Below are 20,123 nucleotides of genomic sequence, written 5' to 3'. Positions count from 1 at the left end.
AAAAAGAATCTCTATCCAAACCACCAGTGCTTAAAATTTACTCAACTTATTCCTATTGGTTGATGCATGCACCCCTCTTATGTTGTTAATTGTATATAATTTGCCTATTACATTATCAGGTTTTAATAACTTGTAGCTAGTTTTATCTAGACCTAAAAAGAAAATACAGCATAAACCAATAAATACAGTAACAAAATACTACAAAGAAAATTAAGGGTAAAGGGCAATGACTTATACCATAACCCTGTTTTACATATAGTTTTTTGGGGAAAAAAAAACAGATAAAAATCAGTCAATCTACTTTGGGAATAGTAACCAAGATCCAGACATCAATATGGGCTTAGTTGTTTGGGCTAATCATTACAAAGCAGAAATGGGACAAATCTCAGATCACTCATTCAAAACAAGCACTCCAGGCCAGGCATGCAAATCTACTCATTGGCCGGGCACAGTGGCTCACGCCTGTAATCCCAACACTTTGGGAGGCCAAGGCGGGTGGATCACGAGGTCAGGACATCGAGACCATCCTGGCTAACATGGTGAAACCACATCTCTACTAAAAATACAAAACATTAGCCAGGTGTGGTGGCGGGTGCCTGTAGTCCCAGCTACTCGGGAGGCTGTGGCAGGAGAATGGTGTGAACCCGGGAGGTGGAGCTTGCAGGGAGCCGAGATCGTGCCACTGCACTCCAGCGTGGGCGACAGAGCAAGACTCCGCCTCAAAAAAAAAAAAAAAAAAAAGAAAAAGAAATCTACTCATTACCAACCAGACCCTACCAAAGTGCACATGCACTGAATGATAAATACTGGGATGAGTGTAACTTTGAATTTTACTTATTTTTTATTTATTTATTTTTTGAGACAGAGTCTCGCTCTATAGCCCAGGGTGGAGTGCAGTGGTGCTATCTCGGGTCATTGCAACCTCCTCTTCCTGCGTTCAAGCCATTCTCCTGTCTCAGCCTCCTGAGTAGCTGGGACTACAGGTGCCCGCCACCACGCCCAGCTAATTTTTGTATTTTTAGTAGAGACAGGGTTTTACCATGTTAGGCTGGTCTCAAACTTCTGACCTCAGGTGATCCACCCGTCTTGGCCTCCCAAAATGCTGGGATTACAGGCATGAGCCACTGTTCCCAGCCAACTTTGAATATTAAAAAACTGAAATCGAAGTAGAACTAGTACTGGCTCTGAATACAAGCAAGACAAAGCATTTTCTCCCACAAATCAATAGCCTGCCTATGCACAGAAGTAACTTTTTAAAAGCAATTACTACGTAGTGTAAAAAGCGAAGTTCTCCAGGTTGTTGAAATGTAAATTGTGTTGAACATATTTAATTAGATGGTACTGAATATTTTAGAAACTAAGATACCGACTACTGTTTCTACATGAAAAACGTGTCCTTACCTTACTAGCACGCTGAGAGCTCCTAGTGGAGTCACTAGAGTGGCTGGTGCAAACGCATACGCAGCGAAGTTGGCCACCTCACCAGCTCCCACTTAGAGACAGACAACAAAAGAAAAACTCAGGTAAGAATGTATGTACTCAACTTGGAAATGCCGGCATTTTATGCACTATCTATATATTATTTCAACTGTATTTAGTAACCTCCATATTTTTCCAATTTATTATTTTTATTTTTTTGAGACGGAGTCTCACTCTGTCGCCCAGGCTGCAGTGCAGTGGTGTGATCTCAACTCACTGCGAGCTCCGCCTCCCGGGTTCACGCCATTCTCCTGCCTCAGCCTCCCAAGTAGCTGGGACCGCAGGCACTCGCCACTATGCCCAGCTAATTTTTTTGTATTTTTAGTAGAGACGGAGTTTCACCGTGTTAGCCAGGATGGTCTTGATCTCCTGACCTCGTGATCTGCCCGCCTCGGCCTCCCAAAGTGCTGGGATTACAGGCGTGAGCCACTGCGCCCAGCCTCTCCAATTTATTAATAAGGGTTATGGGTCTGTAAATTTCTATTACAGTAAGAGTCCAAGTCAATTAGAAACATTCTAGAAACAACACATATCTGTAAATCTAACGGAAGAAATCTAGCTCATGCTGACATAAGGCATTTTAATAAAAATTTTAAATAGATACTTATATCCCAGGACAGTAAATAAAAATCACTGAGAAGAAGCCGACATGAAGGTAAAGGTACTCTTCCCCCAAGTCCTTTTCATTTGGTCCTTTTTTTTTTTTTTTTTTTTTTGAGATGGAGTCTTGCTCTATCGCCCAGGCTGGAATGCAGTGGCACGATCTCAGCTCACTGCAACCTCCACCTCCCGGGTTCAAGCAATTCTCCTGCCTCGGCCTCCCGAGTAGCTGGGACTACAGGCGGGCGCCACCATGCCCAGGTAATTTTTATATTTTTAGTAGAGACGGGGTTTCACCATGTTGACCAGGCTGGTCTTGAACTCCTGACCTCAAATGATCCACCCACCTCAGCCTCCCAAAGTGCTGGGATTATAGGCGTGAGCCACCGTGCCCAGCTTGCTCTTTTTAAAAATGCAAATCATGCTATACACCAGGTCCTGTTCTAGAATCAGGATATACAGCAGGGTGCAAAACAAAGACATTGCTCTGATAAAACTTTTTTTTTTTTTTTGAGACAGAGTCTCGCTCTGTCGCCCAGTCTGCACTGCAATGGCGTGCGTGATCTTGGCTCACTACAACCTCCACCTCCCAAGTTAAAGCGATTCTCCTGCCTCAGCCTCCCAAGTAGCTGGGATTACAGGCCCACATACCCGCCACCACACCCGGCTGATTTTTGTATTTTTAGTAGAGACAGGGTTTCACCATGTTGGTCAGGCTGGTCTTGAACTCCTGACCTAAGGTGATCCACCCGCCTCAGCCTCCCAAAGTGCTGGGATTACAGGCGTGAGCCACCACGCCCAGCCTCTCATAAAACTTTTAGTGAGGGAAGACAGACAAACCAAGCACATGTGCCAAGAGGTTAAAAGTGTTATGAAGAAAAACAGTGAGGGAAAAGAATAAAGTGCTGGTGATGAAAGAAGGTATCCTACTATGTGTCATGGCATTAGATATGGGCTGTCAGATAAGAAATTTTAGAACACTGGGAAATTAAGTCCCACTAAGGAATTATCTAAATTGAAAAGCTACTGAGGAATCCTACACAGGGCAGAGGCATGATCTCACAAAAGGATCCCTCTTGGCTACTGCTTTTTCCAAAAGTTATGCCAATTTTCATTTAGCAGCGTATGAGAGCTCCCTTTGCTCCACATTCTCCCTGCTGATCTTTGTTAGGAGTATGGGATGATTCTGTTATGCCTTCAATTTGCATTTCCCATTTTCATTTGTTTATTAACCCTATGAAATCTTTTAGGGAAGTAGCTGTTAAAGTTTATCCTGTTTTCTCTAATTGATTTAAGGTAATTCTTTATATATTTCAGATGTAAATCTTTTATTGGTTAAACATATTACAATTATCTTCATTTACACTCTACAATTTGCCTTTTTCTTCTCTTGTTAAACTCTTTCTTCTTTAATTCCCAAAATGTCTTTTAAATATGGTTACTGTTAAAATTCAATCAAGGAATTTGGCTGCAATGTCTCAAATATCTTTTTATCCAGGATACTCTCTACTATCTAATTTCCATTTATGTATGACTGACTTCTCAAAAAGAAAAAAAAAAAGCTTGGAGAAAGCTTTTTAACTAATTAGGAAATTATACACAATCTTCTATTTTTTTTAACTGAATACTCTAGAAATTACGTGTATGCTTAACCTGTGAAGTCTAATATTAATATTTAGCTTTATTTCCTTCTGGATAATGCCAGAACCTTAGAACTCTTCATCCATTTTTTCCCTTCCAACTGACTATTGTTGTGTATTTTTTAATACACAACAGGTGAGCCAAGGTAGCTCACTCACAGGACTGGCAAGTAGGTCCTGGCACAGTGAGAGCCTGGGGAGCTCTCCATGGCTGCCTGAGTGTCCTCAGAGCACAGCAGCTGGCTTCTCTCAAAGTGAGCAATCCAAGGAATCAGGAAAAAGCTGCAATGCCTCTCTCTGCTTCACCTCGGAAGACACACATCATCACTTCTGTGGTATTCTTGGATCACACCGTTTTGAACTGCACTAATTCACTGTGAAAGGGGATTAGAGAAAGGTGTGAATACCAGGAGGGGAGTCACTGAGGGCTATGTATCACACGTTAATTGGCCTGGCATGCTCCCCACTCGTGGCCTTCACAGTTACAGTTTCCTCCTGCTTCAAGGGTTTCTCCCCCAAATATCATATGGGCAGATCACTCGCTTCCTTTACATCTTCTACCCAAATACCTTTCAGCGAGGCTGGCCCTGGCTGCAGATCTAACATCCTAATAAACCTATCTATCCTCCATTTCACAACACTCCTTCCGACTTCACTCCTTCTCCTTCCCATTTATCATCACGCACAGGCACATAAACACATAACTTCTTTATCTTGTTTAATGTCTCCCACCTAGAATGTAAGCTTCATGTGGGTGGAGATTTTTCAGTCTTTTCCTCTCACTGATGTATCTCCAGCACCTAGAACAATGCCTGGCATACAAGACATGATCAATAAGTATTTGTTGACTGAACAGTCAGTCAAGGCTCAGTGTCTTCAGAATATTTTTTTTTTTTTGAGACAGTTTCACTCTTGTTGCCCAGGCTGGAGTGCAACGGCACAATCTCAGCTCACTGTAACCTCTGCCTTTCAGGTCCAAGCGATTCTCCTGCCTCAGCCTCCCGAGTAGCTGGGATTACAGGCATGCACCACCATGCCCAGCTAATTCTTTTGTTTTTTTTTTTACTAGAGACGAGGTTTCTCCATGTTGGTCAGGCTGGTCTCACTCCTGACCTCAGGTGATCCACCCACCTCGGGCTCCCAAAGTGCTGGGATTACAGGCATGAGCCACCACGCCCGGCCCAGAATAATTTTTTTCCACGTGCCTTTTTAAAAGTTATTACCAAAATAGGCATGGTGATTTTTTGTATTTTTATTTGGTAAGTCTTATCAAATACATACCTCTTTTTAATTTGGAATGAGAACAAATGGAGGGGCAACAAATTAAAACAGAATTCTCCTCTTAACTTTCAAAATTACCTTAAATTGAGCAGAAATTTTAAAAATGCACAGGCCTATCAAACATGTTTTAATCAGATGGGTAAAAAAAAGCCTTGTCGTTCCATTTAAATGCACTATGAGGGTACGACAAATAGAAAGACTTGAATACCTGGTGAATAACATCAAGTATTTGATAGCACAACAGGGTGACTACAGTCAATAATAATTTTTTTTGTTTTGTTTTTTGAGACTGAGTCTCACTCTATCACCCAGGCTGGAGTGCAGTGGTGCAGTTATCAGCTCACTGCAACCTCCACCTCCCAGTTTCAAGCGATTCTCGGGCCTCAGCCTCCCGAGTAGCTGTGATTACAGGCGCCTGCCACCACGCCCGGCTAATTTTTGCTATTTTTAGTAGAGACGGGGTTTCACCATGTTGGCCAGGCTGGTCTTGAACTCTTGACCTCAAGTGATCCACCCGCCTTGGCCTCCCAAAGTGCTGGGATTACAGGTGTGAGCCACCGCGCCCGGCCCAATAATAATTTAATTGTACATTTAAAAATAACTAAGAGGCCAGGCACGGTGGCTCACACCTGTAATCCCAGCACTTTGGGAGGCTGAGGCAGACAGATCACAAGGTCAGGAGATCGAGACCATCCTGGGCAACATGGTGAAACCCCTTCCCTACTAAAAATACAAAAATTAGCTGGGCTTGGTGGCGCACACCTGTAGTCCAGCTACTCAGGAGGATGAGGCAGGAGAATCGCTTGAACCCAGGAGGCAGAGGTTGCAGTGAGCCAAGATGGTGCCACTACACTCCAGCCTGGCAACAGAGCAAGACTGTGTCTCAAAAAATAAATAAATAAGTAACGGCTGGGCATGGTGGCTCACGCCTGTAATCCCAGCACTTTGGGAGGCCAAGGTGGGCGGATCACGAGGTCAAGAGATCGAGACCAGCCTGGCCAACGTGTGAATCCCTGTCTCTACTAAAAATACAAAAATTAGCTGGGCATAGTGGTGCGCACCAGTAGTCTCAGCTACTCAGGAGGATGAGGCAGGATAATCGCTTGAACCCGGGAGGCGAAGGCTGCAGTGAGCCGAGATGGGCCACTGCATTACAGCCTGGCGACAGAGCAAGATTCCATCTCAAAAACAAAAAAAAGGACTAACTGGATTGTTTGTCCTGCAAAGGATAAATTGTTGAGGGGATGGATAACCCATGGATACCATAATGCAATTATTATGAATTGCATGCCTTTATTAAAGTATCTCATGTACCCTATAAGTACCTACTAAGTACTCACAAAAATGAAAAAAGTAGGCCGGGTGCGGTGGCTCACGCCTGTAATCCCAGCACTTTGCGAGGGCAAGGCAGGTGAATCACCTGAGGTCAGGAGTTTGAGACCAGCCTGACCAACACAGTGAAACCCCGTCTCTACTAAAAATACAAAAAATTAGCTGGGCGTGGTGGTGGCACGCCTGTAATCCCAACTACTTGGGAGGCTGAGGCAGGAGAATCGCTTGAATCCAGGAGGTGGAGGTTGCACTGAGCCAAGATCACGCCACTGCACTCCAGCCTGGGTGACAGAGTGAGACTCTGTCTCAAAAAAAAAAAAAAAAAGATTATTTAAACCTTTAAAACTTGCTAGTAATGAGGCTATAATACCATATGCAAATATTTTAATATATAGCTATCATATTTTTCTTGCAATGTTCTTTATACATACTTGACAGCAGTCCAGCCCACCACAACCATTCCTTAAGATATGCATGGCCACCTTGACCTGTGAATGAAGAAATATTTCACATCTTTGGAAGACTGTAAGACTCTTGTATAAATTATAACTATTAGTAATGACAGATTTTTAAATATCTCAGTTACTCCTTTAAATAAAGGTTTCTGCATGACTCGGGATTTCTCTGACAATTTCTTAATGATTATCTTGCCAAGGTGAATGAATCCTTTACAAGCATACCCGTCATGAACAGTGAGAGCACCTCTTAGGACCAAGCATCAGGGACTAGGGGAACAAGCAGTAGATGCTGACAGTTTCTCCTCTGTCCACTGAACCCCATAGAGGCTATCATTTCATGTTTTTCTGACTGCTGAATTAGGTTTAGCCACAGAGATGGCACAGGGAAGACAGAAGGGTGGTACTGTTTCCTGCCAAGGCAGCTCTCCTCATAAGGTCCAATCAGGTCTAAAAATGAAGCCAGGATAGAATGATGGAATGTGACCATAACGCCACTTAACACCGGGAGCTACCACGAGTGTCCCTGATAGAGGAGTCAGGGCAGGGCCAATCATCCTGATTACCCCGCAGGGTCTTGTGACTTGTCAGTGATTTCTAGAGAAACAACCTACACCAGCCGAAGTTCACTAAACTGGATACTCTTCAAGCTGGGGAAGCCCAGTCTTTCCTTCCTGCCAAAATGTCGAAGTTCAAAGTCAGAACGTCTACTATCATGGACAAAAGATCCCAGCCTTTAATAAATTCTGATTTTAACCATGGCTTTTTTTTTTTTTTAGACGGAGTCTCACTCTGTCACCCAGGCTGGAGTGCAGTGGTGCCATTTTGGCTCACTGCAGAGGTTTCTGCCTCCCGGGTTCAAGCGATTCTGCTGCCTCATCCTCCTGAGTAGCTGGGACTATAGGCCAGGCCACCATGCCCGGCTAATTTTTGTATTTTCAGTAGAGATGGGGTTTCACCATGTTTGCCAGGCTGGTCTCGAACTCCTGACCTCAGGTGATCCACCCGCCTCAGCCTCCCAAAGTGCTGGGATTACAGGCATGAGCCACCACGCCCAGCCTAACCATGGACTCTTATTTCCTTCCCTGCAGACATATCAAAATTTAAAGAAAAGGTTGGATATTACTTGGGCATTGGTCCCTGTTTCCATTTTGATGATAACTGCAGGACTGAGTAGTTAACTAATTATGACATCTTCTCACTTCTTTTCTCAATATAAATAACCAAACATCAACTTTGTAAACATTTAGAACTCTTGAACAATTCAAAGTTTCAAATACACTCACGAGGAATGAAGATGTGGTCTTGTACAAAGAACCTGTGCATGTAGGTAGACACTGAGGTCACTTCAAAGTCACATAAGGCATAACCTACCTGCTCTCATAGAGCCTTTCCTGGCAAGTCGAAGGAGGCCCTTTTTTTTCAAAATGAAACTTCCTCCAATGAAAATGCTGGAGCTCATAGCCAATCCCAGACCAATATAGAAGTCATATTTTCCACGCCCCTGGCTCATTTCGTTTGTTACTTAAGGAGTTCCTGTGAATCACATTGATCACAGAACAGAGAAACCGCTGGTACTAGAGGCAGAATGAAGCAGTCTTCAAACCTAAACAATAAAAAATGAAATGTGGTTTTCACAGAATGCTCATGACAGCTCACATGCAATTCAAAATTTTACTCCATTTCTCTTCCCCTAAAGAAAAAATAGCTCCTTCATTACTAATATTGATAATATTTATTATTTAAATTTAGCACCAACCTGTATATTTCTTCAAATTATGGCAAAAGATAGGATCATGCTATAAAACCAAGTTTAAACTGATTTCATAAACTCTGATCCCATATTTTAAAAAAAAATGTTTCTAGCCTTAATAAAACTTTCTGATAAGAAAAAAAAATTCTGCAGAAAAAATTAGGCATAATATACAAATCTAGTTTGGAAATACATTTATCAGGTTCTCAAATGTGTCCTTTTGAATAATCTATACAAAGAAACTCAAAATTTTCTCACCCATACATTTTCTTCTTAGCAATAGGTGCACATAAGCATATGCTAATTTATTTATTTAGCCTATTCAGGGATGTGCTGAGAGAAGGCAGATTTCACATTATTTATCAGAGGGTAACAATTCTTGCAGAGAGGTGTCTGCTGGGGCGTGCAGTATGGTACCGGTGGCCTTTGGAGAACATGAGGACCATGGTATCTGGAGGGCTCAATCCTCGAGGCCAGACAGGAAGCAGAGGCTTACCAAGACTGCAATTGTTTTTCCAAATGGCCAACTCATAAACTCAGTTGACAGATGAACTAAAGCACAGTGTGGATAGCAGAGAAAAAATAGTTTTTAGCAACAAGGTTTATGATTGGTTCTAACTGCCAGATCAGCTTTCTAGCACATCTTGGGATTTTTAGTCCCACAATTTAACTTCGGAGTTCCAAAACTAATCTGCAATTCAGTCAGGACCCTAACTAGCCATGTTTTTCCGTTCTTCAAGTTATGAGACACTGGCTTTTAACCAAAGCAACTTAAACTCCCTGTCCACCTAGCCCCTCAATTACTTTATCCATCCATTCAAACAGTATTTACTGGATATTATGTGCTAAGCGTTTATTATGCTAAGCTCTCTAGCTTCACAAGGAAGACAGACAAGAGATAGTTAAATAAGGAGTGATAACATTACTGCAGGGAGACTGCAATAATGGTAAACACGACATTATCACACTGAGTTGATATTACTCCCAAGAAATGAAAAAGTCCAATGTTTTTGATTTGCCCATTAAGGTGCATTATCGTTCCTGTATGATTCAATGAGAAGACTATTCTCCCTCACCCCTGATTTGCCGCTTGGCCATCAAGCTTGCTTTGGCCAATGGGAGGGAGGTGTAAGGAACAGAGTGCCAGTTCTGAGTCTACACCTAGAGGCCTCTCTTACTTCTGCTTGCCCCTTCGCACCCTGCCATAGCCACAGGAAGTGCATGTCCTGATCACAACAGAGTGAAGGGTACAGAACAAAATCGTCCCAGTGACTCACAGAACTGTGAGCATGATCTAAGTGCTCATTCCTCTATGCCACTGAGATAGCTAACTCACACACACAAACAGGCTTACTGCAAGTATGAAGTTTCCACCCTGATTTTTGAAAAACCAAAAATTTTCTGTAGAAAATGGGGATTCAGTGATGGGTAAAAGCTGGGTGATGGGTACACAGGGACTCATTGTATTACTATATCTGCTTTTGTGTATTTCTGAACATTTCCATATTAACGTTTTTAAAATACAACCTTTAGTGCTCAAAAGGTACAAGGATGCCAAGGTAGAAACCACCAGCAAGTCCCAAAAGCCAGGTCACCCCACAACCTAAGACAAAATAATACTGAAACACTGGGTCGGGCGCGGTGGCTCACACATGTAATCCCAGCACTTTGGGAGGCTGAGGCTGGTGGATCACAAGGTCAGGAGATCGAGTCATCCTGGCTAACACGGTGAAACCCCATCTCTACTAAAAATACAAAAACAAAATTAGCCGGAAGTGGTGGCAGGCGCCTGTAGTTCCAGCTACTTGGGAGGCTGAGGCGGGAGAATGGCATGAACCTGGGACGGGGAGCTTGCAGTGAGCCGAGATCGCGCCACTGCACTCCAGCCTGGGCGACAGAGCGAGACTCTATCTCAAAAAAAAAAAAAATACTGAAACATTGAAAGAAAACACTCAAGTCAAAAAGGTGCTGAGTTCTTCTAAGTATCAGTCATAATCTCATGGATGAGACTGTCTACCCGAAAGCCTTCCAGAACTGACCTCTCCCTTAACAGATTTGGAAAAGTACCCCTAGTCCCTCTGTGCCATTCATAAGGCAAGATTCCATGAGAAAAGTCTTAGGTGGGGAGTTTGGAGACCCCGTCTTGCTTCCAGCTGGAGGTGTGATCTTGGATGAGTCACCACATTAACAGATATATACATAAAAAGAAAGAAGCTGAACAATCTAAGGTATTACCCACTTTATGTGCCAAATACTGGTCATCTCAAGCCTCAAGTTAACTTCAGCATATCTATGGAATAATTCTAGATAGGTGAGTCTCATTGACAGTAAAAATAAATTACAGAGATGTAAACACATTTAAAGACAAGGTAGGAGAACTTGAAACAAGATGTCAGGGACAATCATCATTTCTACACGCTGTAAGATTGCAACAAAAAGCAGGTGTGCTTACACTGTTCCCACTGCATCCTGCATGGCTTGTTGATCTGTGTTTATCAGCCAGTCTCCTGCATCAGACTGTAAGCTCCTGGGCTCCTGCATGATATTCGCCCTTTTAGCCTATGCACATAGCTATCTGGTAGTCTCAAAATAGGTCTTAATGTGTGTTTTCTGGGTGAATATGGATGAATGGAGTAATTCTTTTTTTTTTTTTTTTTTTTTTTTTTGAGACAAGAGTCTTGCTCTGTCACCCAGGCTAGAGTGCAGTAGCATGATCTCGGCTCACTGCAACCTCTACTGCCCAGGTTCAAGTGATTCTCCTGCCTCAGCCTCTGAGTAGCTGGGACTACAGGCACATGCTGCCATGCCCAGCTAGTTTTTGTATTTTTAGTAGAGATGGAGTTTCACTATGTTGGCCAGGCTGGTCTGGAACTCCTGACCTCGAGTGATCCGCCCATCTCAGCCTTCAAAAAGTGCTAGGATTACAGCCATGAGCCACCACCCCAGCCAAATGGAATAATTCATAATTAGCCCTTAAAAACAGCCAGATACAGTGGTACACACCAGGAGGCTGAGGCAGAAGGATTGCTTGAAACCAGGAGTTCAAGTTTAGCCTGGGCAACATAGTTATGCCTGGTCTCAAACAAACAAACAAAGCAGCCATTAATACACAGAAAACTACTGCATCATTTAGATTGGCATCCTAAAATGTAACCGATGTTTTATAGCTTTTAAACTTGAGAACCATAATCATTTATCCAATATGCTAGCAAGTGGCAGTACTAGATGGAAGTGAAAATGCAAGGAAAATGGTTATACGGACTACGAAAATGGGAGTGAGAAACCGAGCTACCCAAACGCTTCAGCCCTCCTGGCAGGTATATCCTTCTCATGAGTCAGGGTCACCTCACTTCAATGAAAGCATTCCTTAAGATCATCCAACATAAAAATCATCGACCAGGCGTGGTGGCTCACGCCTGTAATCCCAGCACTTTGGGAGGCCGAGGTGGGCGGATCACCTGAGGTCGGGAGTTCGAGACCAGCCTGACCAACATGGAGAAACCCCGTCTCTACTAAAAATACAAAAATTAGCTGGGCGTGGTGGCACATGCCTGTAATCCCAGCTACCTGGGAGGCTGAGGCAGGAGAATTGCCTCAACCAGGGAGGCAGAGGTTGTGGTGAGTTGAGATAGTGCCATTGCATTCCAGCCTGGGCAACAAGATAGAAACTCTGTCTCAAAAAAATAAAAATAAGATAAAATAAAAAAGATCATCTGACATAAAAATCATCGGCCGGGCACGGTGGCTCATGCCTGTAATCCCAACACTTTGGGAGGCCGAGGTGGGCAGATCACGAGGTCAGGATTTCGAGACCATCCTTGCCAACATGGTGAAACCCCATCTCTACTAAAAATACAAAAATTAGCTGGCGCAGTGGCGGGTTCCTGTAATCATAGCTACTTGGGAGGCTGAGGCAGGAGAACTGCTTGAAGCCAGAAGGCGGAGGTTTCAGTAAGCCGAGATCACCCCACTGCATTCCACCCTAGGTGACAGAGCAAGACTCCGTCTCGGAAAAAAAAAAAAAGAATCATCATCCTCCTTTAATCTTTGTCTTCATGAAGCAATGTTCTTAATTATCATGCAAGTTCTACTGCTGTGGAAGTGACTACTTGACAGCTGTATTGCTCACTATATACTTTAAGTTCTATGGTAATGGAACAAATCAAATTTATAGTCTGAATATTCTGTAAGCAATAAAATTGAACCTTCTTACCAATAAAGATGATATCCAGAAAAAAGTCAGGTTTATCTACAGTTCTAATCCCAGTATAACAATAGACTCACAAGGCCGGGCGCGGTGGCTCAGGCCTGTAATCCCAGCACTTTGGGAGGAAGAAGCGGGCAGATCACCTGAGGTCGGGAGTTCGAGACCAGCCTGACCAACATGGAGAAACCCTGTCTCTACTAAAAATACAAAAAAATTAGCAGGGCATGGTGGCACATACCTGTAATCTTAGCTACTCGGGAGGCTGAGGCAGGAGAATCGCTTGAACCCGGGAGGCAGAGGTTGTGGTGAGCCAAGATTACACCATTGCACTCCAGCCTGGGCAACAAGAGCGAAACTCGGTCTCAAACAAACAAAAAAAAAACAACAACAAAAACAAAAAACAACAGACTCACAAATCCAAATTTAAATAATAATAATAATAATTATTATTATTATTATTATTATTTTGGAGACAGGGTCTCATTCTGTCACCCAGGCTGGAGTGCAGTGGCACAATCATGGTTCACTGCAACCTCGACTTCCCAGGCTCAAGTGATCCTCCCACCTCAGCCTCTCAAGTAGCTGGGACCATAAGTGTGCAACACTACACCACCTGGCTAATTTTGGTATTTTTTGTCGATACAGAGTTTCACCATGTTGTCCAGGCTGGTCCCAAACTCCTGAGCTCAAGCGATCTGCCTGCCTCGGCCTCCCAAAGTGGTAGATTACAAGTGTCACCCACTGCATCCTGCCCAGATTTTACTTGTATCATGAACCTTTCAAATAACTGATTTGTAACTACTTAATTTACTAATATTTACTAACACTTAATGTTAACTTTCACTAAATGCAAGTTACATACATGTGGTGTAAGGTCTAACATTAAGAGCCAGTATTACATGTTGCCTTGACATCTGGTAAAAACCAGGAGCTTTTAATGGCCTCAGGGCAAGCTTCCCTCCCCAAGATGCCAAACAATTCTCATCACAGTGACCAGGCACAGGTACAGTTGCTGCTTATGCCTGAGGAGTAGGCCCCACTGCCCTGCCAGCCCAAGGAATTCTGAAAGCAATTATTAGTCTTTCTGCAGGAACCACAGCCACTCTCGTTACCACAAAGCCTTGCCTCCCGCAGCCCCTGGTTCTCCGTTCTATCCTAAGCGAAAGACTAAGAAACTTCCGTCCATCTCGTCTGTCCAGTGTCAGTACTGTGGGATGGAAATCCCTCTCTCACTGACAAGGTGAAGAGGTGATTAAAACAATACATATAATGGAATTTTACTCATTTAATCCTAAGGCCAATGAACATTATTCCTAACCTTACTAAGGCTATCATATGAGATTTTCTCCATATTTATTTTACATAAAGTTTCATGATGCTATTTAAAATCTATTTTCCCCTTTCCCTTTTATTTTAATTTATGTGTTATGGGAAATTTCAAACACAAAAAGCAGAGAGAAGGCCTTTTCTGACCAGCTGGGTCCATCATGTGCATATGGCTTTCGAGAGTCCCCCTGGCCAGGCACCCCTCTCCTGCCCACTTCATTTCCTAACACAGAAACCTGACACCCTCAGACAGGCCCTCCCCTCCTCCTCCTCCTGCAACCCAAAGCCTGCTCTCCACTCAAGGCCAGGGTACACCTTAAGCTGTGCTACAAAGACTTCTGCAATTAACTCCAGCCCACAGGCATTTTCTCTTCTTTACTATTTAATTCTCAACTACTGTTCTATCTTCAAGGTAAACTCTTTAAGTTCCTTAAAAACAATTACTTAGGTTTTCTGTGGTGGTTTCCCCACAAAAGGCACTCATTTACGGTAGCAAATTTGATTTACAAATCTTTCTAGAATGAGGCATATCACCAAATAAGGTGATCTGGTTGTTTCTTCATGCATGGAACTGTACCAGGGTGTATGTGTGGAGGGCTGGGGGATGACAAGCAGCATACAATTTGCAAGCCTTCAAATTATAAAGCAGCCTTCTGCCACCAAGAAAATAAGTGATCTCATTCTGACTTACAGTTTGAAAATAGGACATCAGAGGGAATGTCCTGAAAGGAATGAGTTGCTTCACTATTCTCAGACCTGGTCCCACTCTGCTCCCTCTCTCTGTAACTGAAGGTCTATCACAGCCGGGAGAGCCTGCAACAGAGATATTTTTTCTTCTTAAGAATTAGCCATGAGGCAGGGCCAGTATTAAAGACAGATAAACAGTAAAATTTTCTAAATTTCACTTCAACTAGGTTCCCAAGCTCCATGTGGTTCACCTGCCCAGTTTACTTAGGGGGACTCGGGAGTAATCCGAACTGTGACCATTGCTCAACAAACACTGAGCAGCTATTATCTGCCAGGCACTGAAGTTGTAAAGATGATCAAAGGGCCTATCCTCAAGGACTCCACGACTAAGAGAATTAAAAATTCCAAAAATAACCTACTGACGTTTTAAACACTTTTAAAGAGTCTTATGATTTTCTGCTTATTCTGTGTGTGGGAGGGGAAGGGCTTTTTTGTTGTTGTTGTTGTTGTTGTGGTTTTTGACAGTGTCTCACTCTGTTTCCCAGGCTGGAGTGCAGTGGCGCGATCATCGCTCACTGCTGTCTCAAATGCCTGGGTTGCAGTGATCTCTGACCTCAGCTGCTCAAATCAACAGGACCACAGGCGTATACCACGACACCTAGCTAATTTTTTTGTTCTGCTTGTTCTCTCTACATTTTAACAAACTCTTTTTTTTTTTGAGTCACAGTCTTGCACTGTCGCCCGGGCTGGAGTGCGATGGCGCCATCTCGGCTCACTGCAACCTCCGTCTCCCGGGTTCAAGCAAGTCTCCTGCCTCAGCCTCCCGCATAGCTGGGATTACAGACGTGTACTGCCACACCCGGCTAATTTTTTGTAGTAGAGACGGGGTTTCACTATGTTGGCCAGGCTGGTCTCGAACTCCTGACTTTGTGATCCGCCCACCTTGGCCTCCCAAAGTGCTGGGATTACAGGAGTGAACCACCACTCCCGGCCAACAAGTTCAATTTTCACAATTGATTTTACTAATATTTGTAATGTGAACTTTCATTAAACATAAAGCATGTCAAAAATGGAATAAATACATCTCAAATAAAAGAAAATTATGAAATTAGTCCACTTTCTTAAAAAATGTGGAAAACACATGATTTAAGAAACAGGCAAAAATGGACTAGTATTCTAATAAGGAAAACCTAAACTAGGACCTGCTTTGCAAAATGATTATCAGTAGGCAACACAATCACCAAAGTTAGCAAACTTTAAAAATTACACCAACTGGGCCGAGCACGGCGGCTCACATCTGTAACCCCAGCACCTTGGGAGGCCGAGGTGGGAGATCACCTGAGGCCAGGAGTTCGAGACCAGCCTGGCCAACATGGTGAAACCCCATCTCTACAAAACATACCTGGCCAACCTGGTGAAACCCCATCTCTACAAAAACATAAAAATTATTTTTTTGTATTTGCCATGAGGGCGGGTGCCTGTAATCCCAGCTACTGGTGAGGCTAAGGAAGGAGAATCTATTGAACCTGGGAGGTGGAGGTTGCAGTGAGCCAAGATTGCACCACTGCACTCCAGCCTGGGCCACAGGGCGAGACTCCGTCTCAAAAAAAAAAAGGAAAAAATTGAAAAAATTACACCAAATGAAGTGCATAGACAGCCTTAAACTTTTCACAGCACTTTTGACATTTCAACAAAGCCTTAATTAAAAAGATATGTGGTAAGGGCCCACAATGAGGAACCAGGTCCAGAGATTTTTTTTTTTTTTTTAGATGGAGTCTCGCTCTGTCCCCCAGGCTGGAGTGCAGTGGCGCTATCTCGGCTCACTGCAAGCTCTGCCTCCCGGGTTCACGCCATTCTCCTGTCTCAGCCTCCTGAGTAGCTGGGACTACAGGCACCCACCACCATGCATGGCTAATTTTTTTGTATTTTTAGTAGAGACGGGGGTTTCACCATGTTAGCCAGGATGGTCTCGATCTCCTGACCTCGTGATCCAACAGCCTTGGCCTCCTAAAGTGCTGGGATTACAGGCGTGAGCCACCGCACCTGGCCCAAGTCCAGAGATGTTAAGTAACACGTCACACAGCTGAGGTAGCAGAAGCAGAACTATAATCCAGGCCTCCTCATCTCTGCCAATCTCAGCCTTCTGCTGAAGAATTTGGAATCACGACCCCTGTTTGTAGCAAGAAGACCAAATTGTGTAAACTAGTAACAAAGACCCTGCATCATTTGTTCCAAACCTACCTTTTAGATCTCTCTTTTTTTTTTTTTTGAGACAGAGTCTCACTCTGTTGCCCAGGCTGGAGTGCAGTGACGCAATCTCTGCTCACTGCAAGCTCCGCCTCCTGGGTTCATGCCATTCTCCTGCCTCTGCCTCCCGAGTAGCTGGGACTACAGGCGCCCACCACTACACTAGGCAAATTTTTTGCATTTTTTAATTTTTTTGGATGCAGAGTCTCGCTCTATCCCCCAGGCTGGAGTGCGCTGGCGCAATCTTGGCTCACTGCAACCTCTGCCTCCCAGGTTCAAGTGATTCTCCTGCCTCAGCCTCCTGAGTATCTGGGATTACAGGTGCCTGCAACCACGCCCAGCTAATTTTTGTATTTTTAGTAGAGATGGGGTTTCGCCATGTTGGTCAGGCTGGTCTTGAACTCCTGACCTCGGGTGATCCTTCTGCCTCGGCCTCCCAAAGTGCTGGGATTACAGGCGTGAGTTACCGTGCCCGGCCAATATTTTGGGTTTTTTTTTTAGTAGAGATGGGGTTTCACCATGTTAGCCAGGATGGTCTCGATCTCCTGACCTTGTGATCCACCCACCTCAGCCTCCCAAAGTGCTGGGATTACAGGCGTAAGCCACCGCGCCCAGCCTAGATCTTATTTCCCCATACCATATTTCACACATCCTGTGTTCTACCCCGGTCAGCACTCTGCTGCTATTCTAACCTGCTCCTACCTTTCCTCCTCCATATTTGGTTGACACTAACTACCCCTCTGTTACGGTTACTTTGGTACTTAACTAGTATTGCCTTCACTGTGGCTCCCAGTGAACATGTGGCTTGCTTATATCATTTACTCAACCAACCAACGTTTACTGAGCATGTACAATATTCTAGGAGCAGGGGTACAACAGCCCACATGGGGTTATCTCCTGCTAGAGGTAGGGCGAAATAATAAACGAAATAAAGACATTATTCTGGAAAAGTGGCAAATGTTATGGTAAAAAATAAAACATGTGAAGGGCACTGGGGAGTTGAGTTGGGGGATTCTAATGACCATAGTTAGGAGGCCTTGCTGAGCAGTAACACTTGAGTAGAAGCTTCAAAGAGCTTTTTGAAAAGAACAAAGGAGAGAGAAGCAAGTGCAGGGGCTCTGAGGTATGAGCGGGTGTGCAGTTTCCTAAACAAAGGCCACTGTGGCTGACCTTGAGTGAGGGCAGGTGAGATACATTAGCGTGAAAAAGCGAGTGTCCGGCCGGGCGCGGTGGCTCACGCCTATAATCCCAGCACTTTGGGAGGTCGAGGCGGGTGGATCATGAGGTCAGGAGTTCGAGACCAGCCTGACCAACATGGTGAAACCCCGACTCTACTAAAAATACAAAAATCAGCCAGGCATGGTGGCGGGCGCCTGTAATCCCAGCTACTCGGGAGGCTGAGGCAGGAGAATCGCTAGAAACTGGAGGGCGGAGGTTGCAGTGAGCCGAGATCGCACAGCTGCACTCTAGCCTGGGCAACAAGAGCAAAACTGCATCTCAGAAGAAAAAAAAAGGTGAGTGTCAGATCACGTGGGGCCCTATGGGCCATACACAAACCCAAAAGGCAAGGAACAGATCTGCAACCCATTTATTTGGCCAGATCATAATTTATTTTCATCTGGAGCCATTACAGAACTATTTAAGTAGTTCTGTTTCAACTTCATTTACATAAAACAAATAGATATGCAGAAATGTTTAAGGATGCTCTAATCTAGTCTGAGGGGTGTATTTAATTCTACAACACAGATAAATCTTTGCAAATTGTGTATATTTGAGATTTATGTTATGGGAAACATACAGATACTAACACAGTTACCACAGTAGAGCAAATCAACATATCTATCATCTCATGTAGTTACTTTTTTATGACAAAAGCAGCTAAAATCTACTCATTGAAGGAAAATCTCTAATACAATTTCATTAGCTGTAGTTCTCAAGTTGTACATCCTGAATATCTGCTACTTTGTATCCTGTGACCTAAATCTCCCATTTCCTCTCCCACCCCCACCCCACCTTTTATTCTCTGCAGAAGTCTTATCTTTCTGTTCAATATCACAATGTATAGCAATCAAATAAATCAGTTTAAATGAAGCTTACACCATCTATAAAAAAATGTAATATTCAAAGTCATGTGTTTTAAATATGAGTAAACCATATTTACCTATTAAAAACATTCTGAAAATATGTGAAATTCTTTTTATTATCTCTCCCTAACAATAGCTACCACTTACTGAACACCTCCCCAGGCACTATTCCATGCATCATTTCTACTCATTTCTCTTCTACGCAATAAGATGAAGGTATCACTTTACAGCTAAGGAAACCTCCCAGGGGTAAAAAAGAGTCACATGCAGAGGACCACACAGAAAGGGACTTTACTTCTACACCCGGCTGCCCACATTACATTAACACTTTAGAGCTCTTAGGTCGGGCGCGGTGGCTCACGCCTGTAATCCCAGCACTTTGGGGGGTCGAGGCGGGCGGATCACCTGAGGTCAGGAGTTAAGAGACCAGCCTGGCCAACAAGGTGAAACCCCCGTCTCTACTAAAAATACAAAAATTAGCTGGGCGTGGTCGCCGGCGCCTGTAACCCCAGCTACTCCGGAGGCTGAGGCAGGAGAACCGCTTGAACCCAGGAGGCGGAGGTTGCAGTGAGCAGAGATCGTGCCACTGCACTCCAGCCCGAGTGACAGAGCAAGATTCCATCTCAAAAAAAAAAAAACAAAAAAAAAAACTATATATAGAGCTCTTAGTTTTCTACGAAATCTTTACTACCTGGTTTCCACTGCTATCTAAGTTAGCTTAGGCCCGGCTCGGTGGCTCACACCTGTAATCCCCGCACTTTGGAGGCCAAGGTGGTTGGATCGCTTAAGTCCAGAATTAGGAGACCAGCCGGTGTAACATGGTGAAACCCCGGTTCTAAAAAAAATACAAAAATTAGCCAGGCATGGTGCCGCACGTCTGTGGTCCCAGCTGCTGGGGAGGCTGAGGTGGGAGGAGCACTTGAGCCCGGGAGGCGGAAGTTGCAGTGAGCCCAGATTGCACCGTCTAGCCTGGGGACAGAGCAAGACCTTGGCTCAGAAAAATTAAATACATGTTAGATTTAATTTTTTCCA

General features: G+C 43.9%; 1 protein-coding gene across 51 annotated transcripts in view, besides 2 other annotated features; it reads right to left on the bottom strand.

The window, feature by feature from the left end:
* Positions 1 to 20,123, bottom strand: part of NIPA2 (NIPA magnesium transporter 2) — a 29,719-nt gene that overhangs the window by 8,353 nt on the left and 1,243 nt on the right. For 6 of the 51 annotated variants that reach the window (XM_006720367.2, XM_017022656.2, NM_001184888.2 and 3 more), the window contains 3 exons: positions 14,765 to 14,886; positions 8,162 to 8,393; positions 1,402 to 1,492 (listed from right to left, as the gene is read on the bottom strand). In XM_006720367.2, coding sequence (XP_006720430.1) covers positions 1,402 to 1,492; positions 8,162 to 8,300 — 230 coding nt within the window. In that variant the 5' untranslated portion in view covers positions 8,301 to 8,393; positions 14,765 to 14,886. Of the gene's footprint in view, positions 1 to 1,401; positions 1,493 to 6,763; positions 6,821 to 8,161; positions 8,394 to 8,798; positions 9,093 to 12,985; positions 13,084 to 14,764; positions 14,887 to 16,742; positions 16,931 to 20,123 lie in introns of all 51 variants that reach the window. The other 45 variants (XM_011543880.4, NM_001437498.1, XM_047433153.1 and 42 more) reach the window with 14 other exon arrangements.
* Positions 14,597 to 14,706: an enhancer, noted in NCBI's record as "active region_9158". NCBI's record gives its function as "activates an Ori minimal core promoter by ATAC-STARR-seq in GM12878 lymphoblastoid cells {active_cell/tissue: GM12878}" and the evidence as "EXISTENCE:reporter gene assay evidence [ECO:0000049][PMID:35858748]".
* Positions 15,261 to 15,370: an enhancer, noted in NCBI's record as "active region_9157". NCBI's record gives its function as "activates an Ori minimal core promoter by ATAC-STARR-seq in GM12878 lymphoblastoid cells {active_cell/tissue: GM12878}" and the evidence as "EXISTENCE:reporter gene assay evidence [ECO:0000049][PMID:35858748]".

This window comes from Homo sapiens, chromosome 15 (genome assembly GCF_000001405.40).
Source record: "Homo sapiens chromosome 15, GRCh38.p14 Primary Assembly".
Lineage (NCBI taxonomy): Eukaryota > Metazoa > Chordata > Mammalia > Primates > Hominidae > Homo > Homo sapiens.
This window is presented reverse-complemented; position numbering and strand designations above follow the sequence as displayed.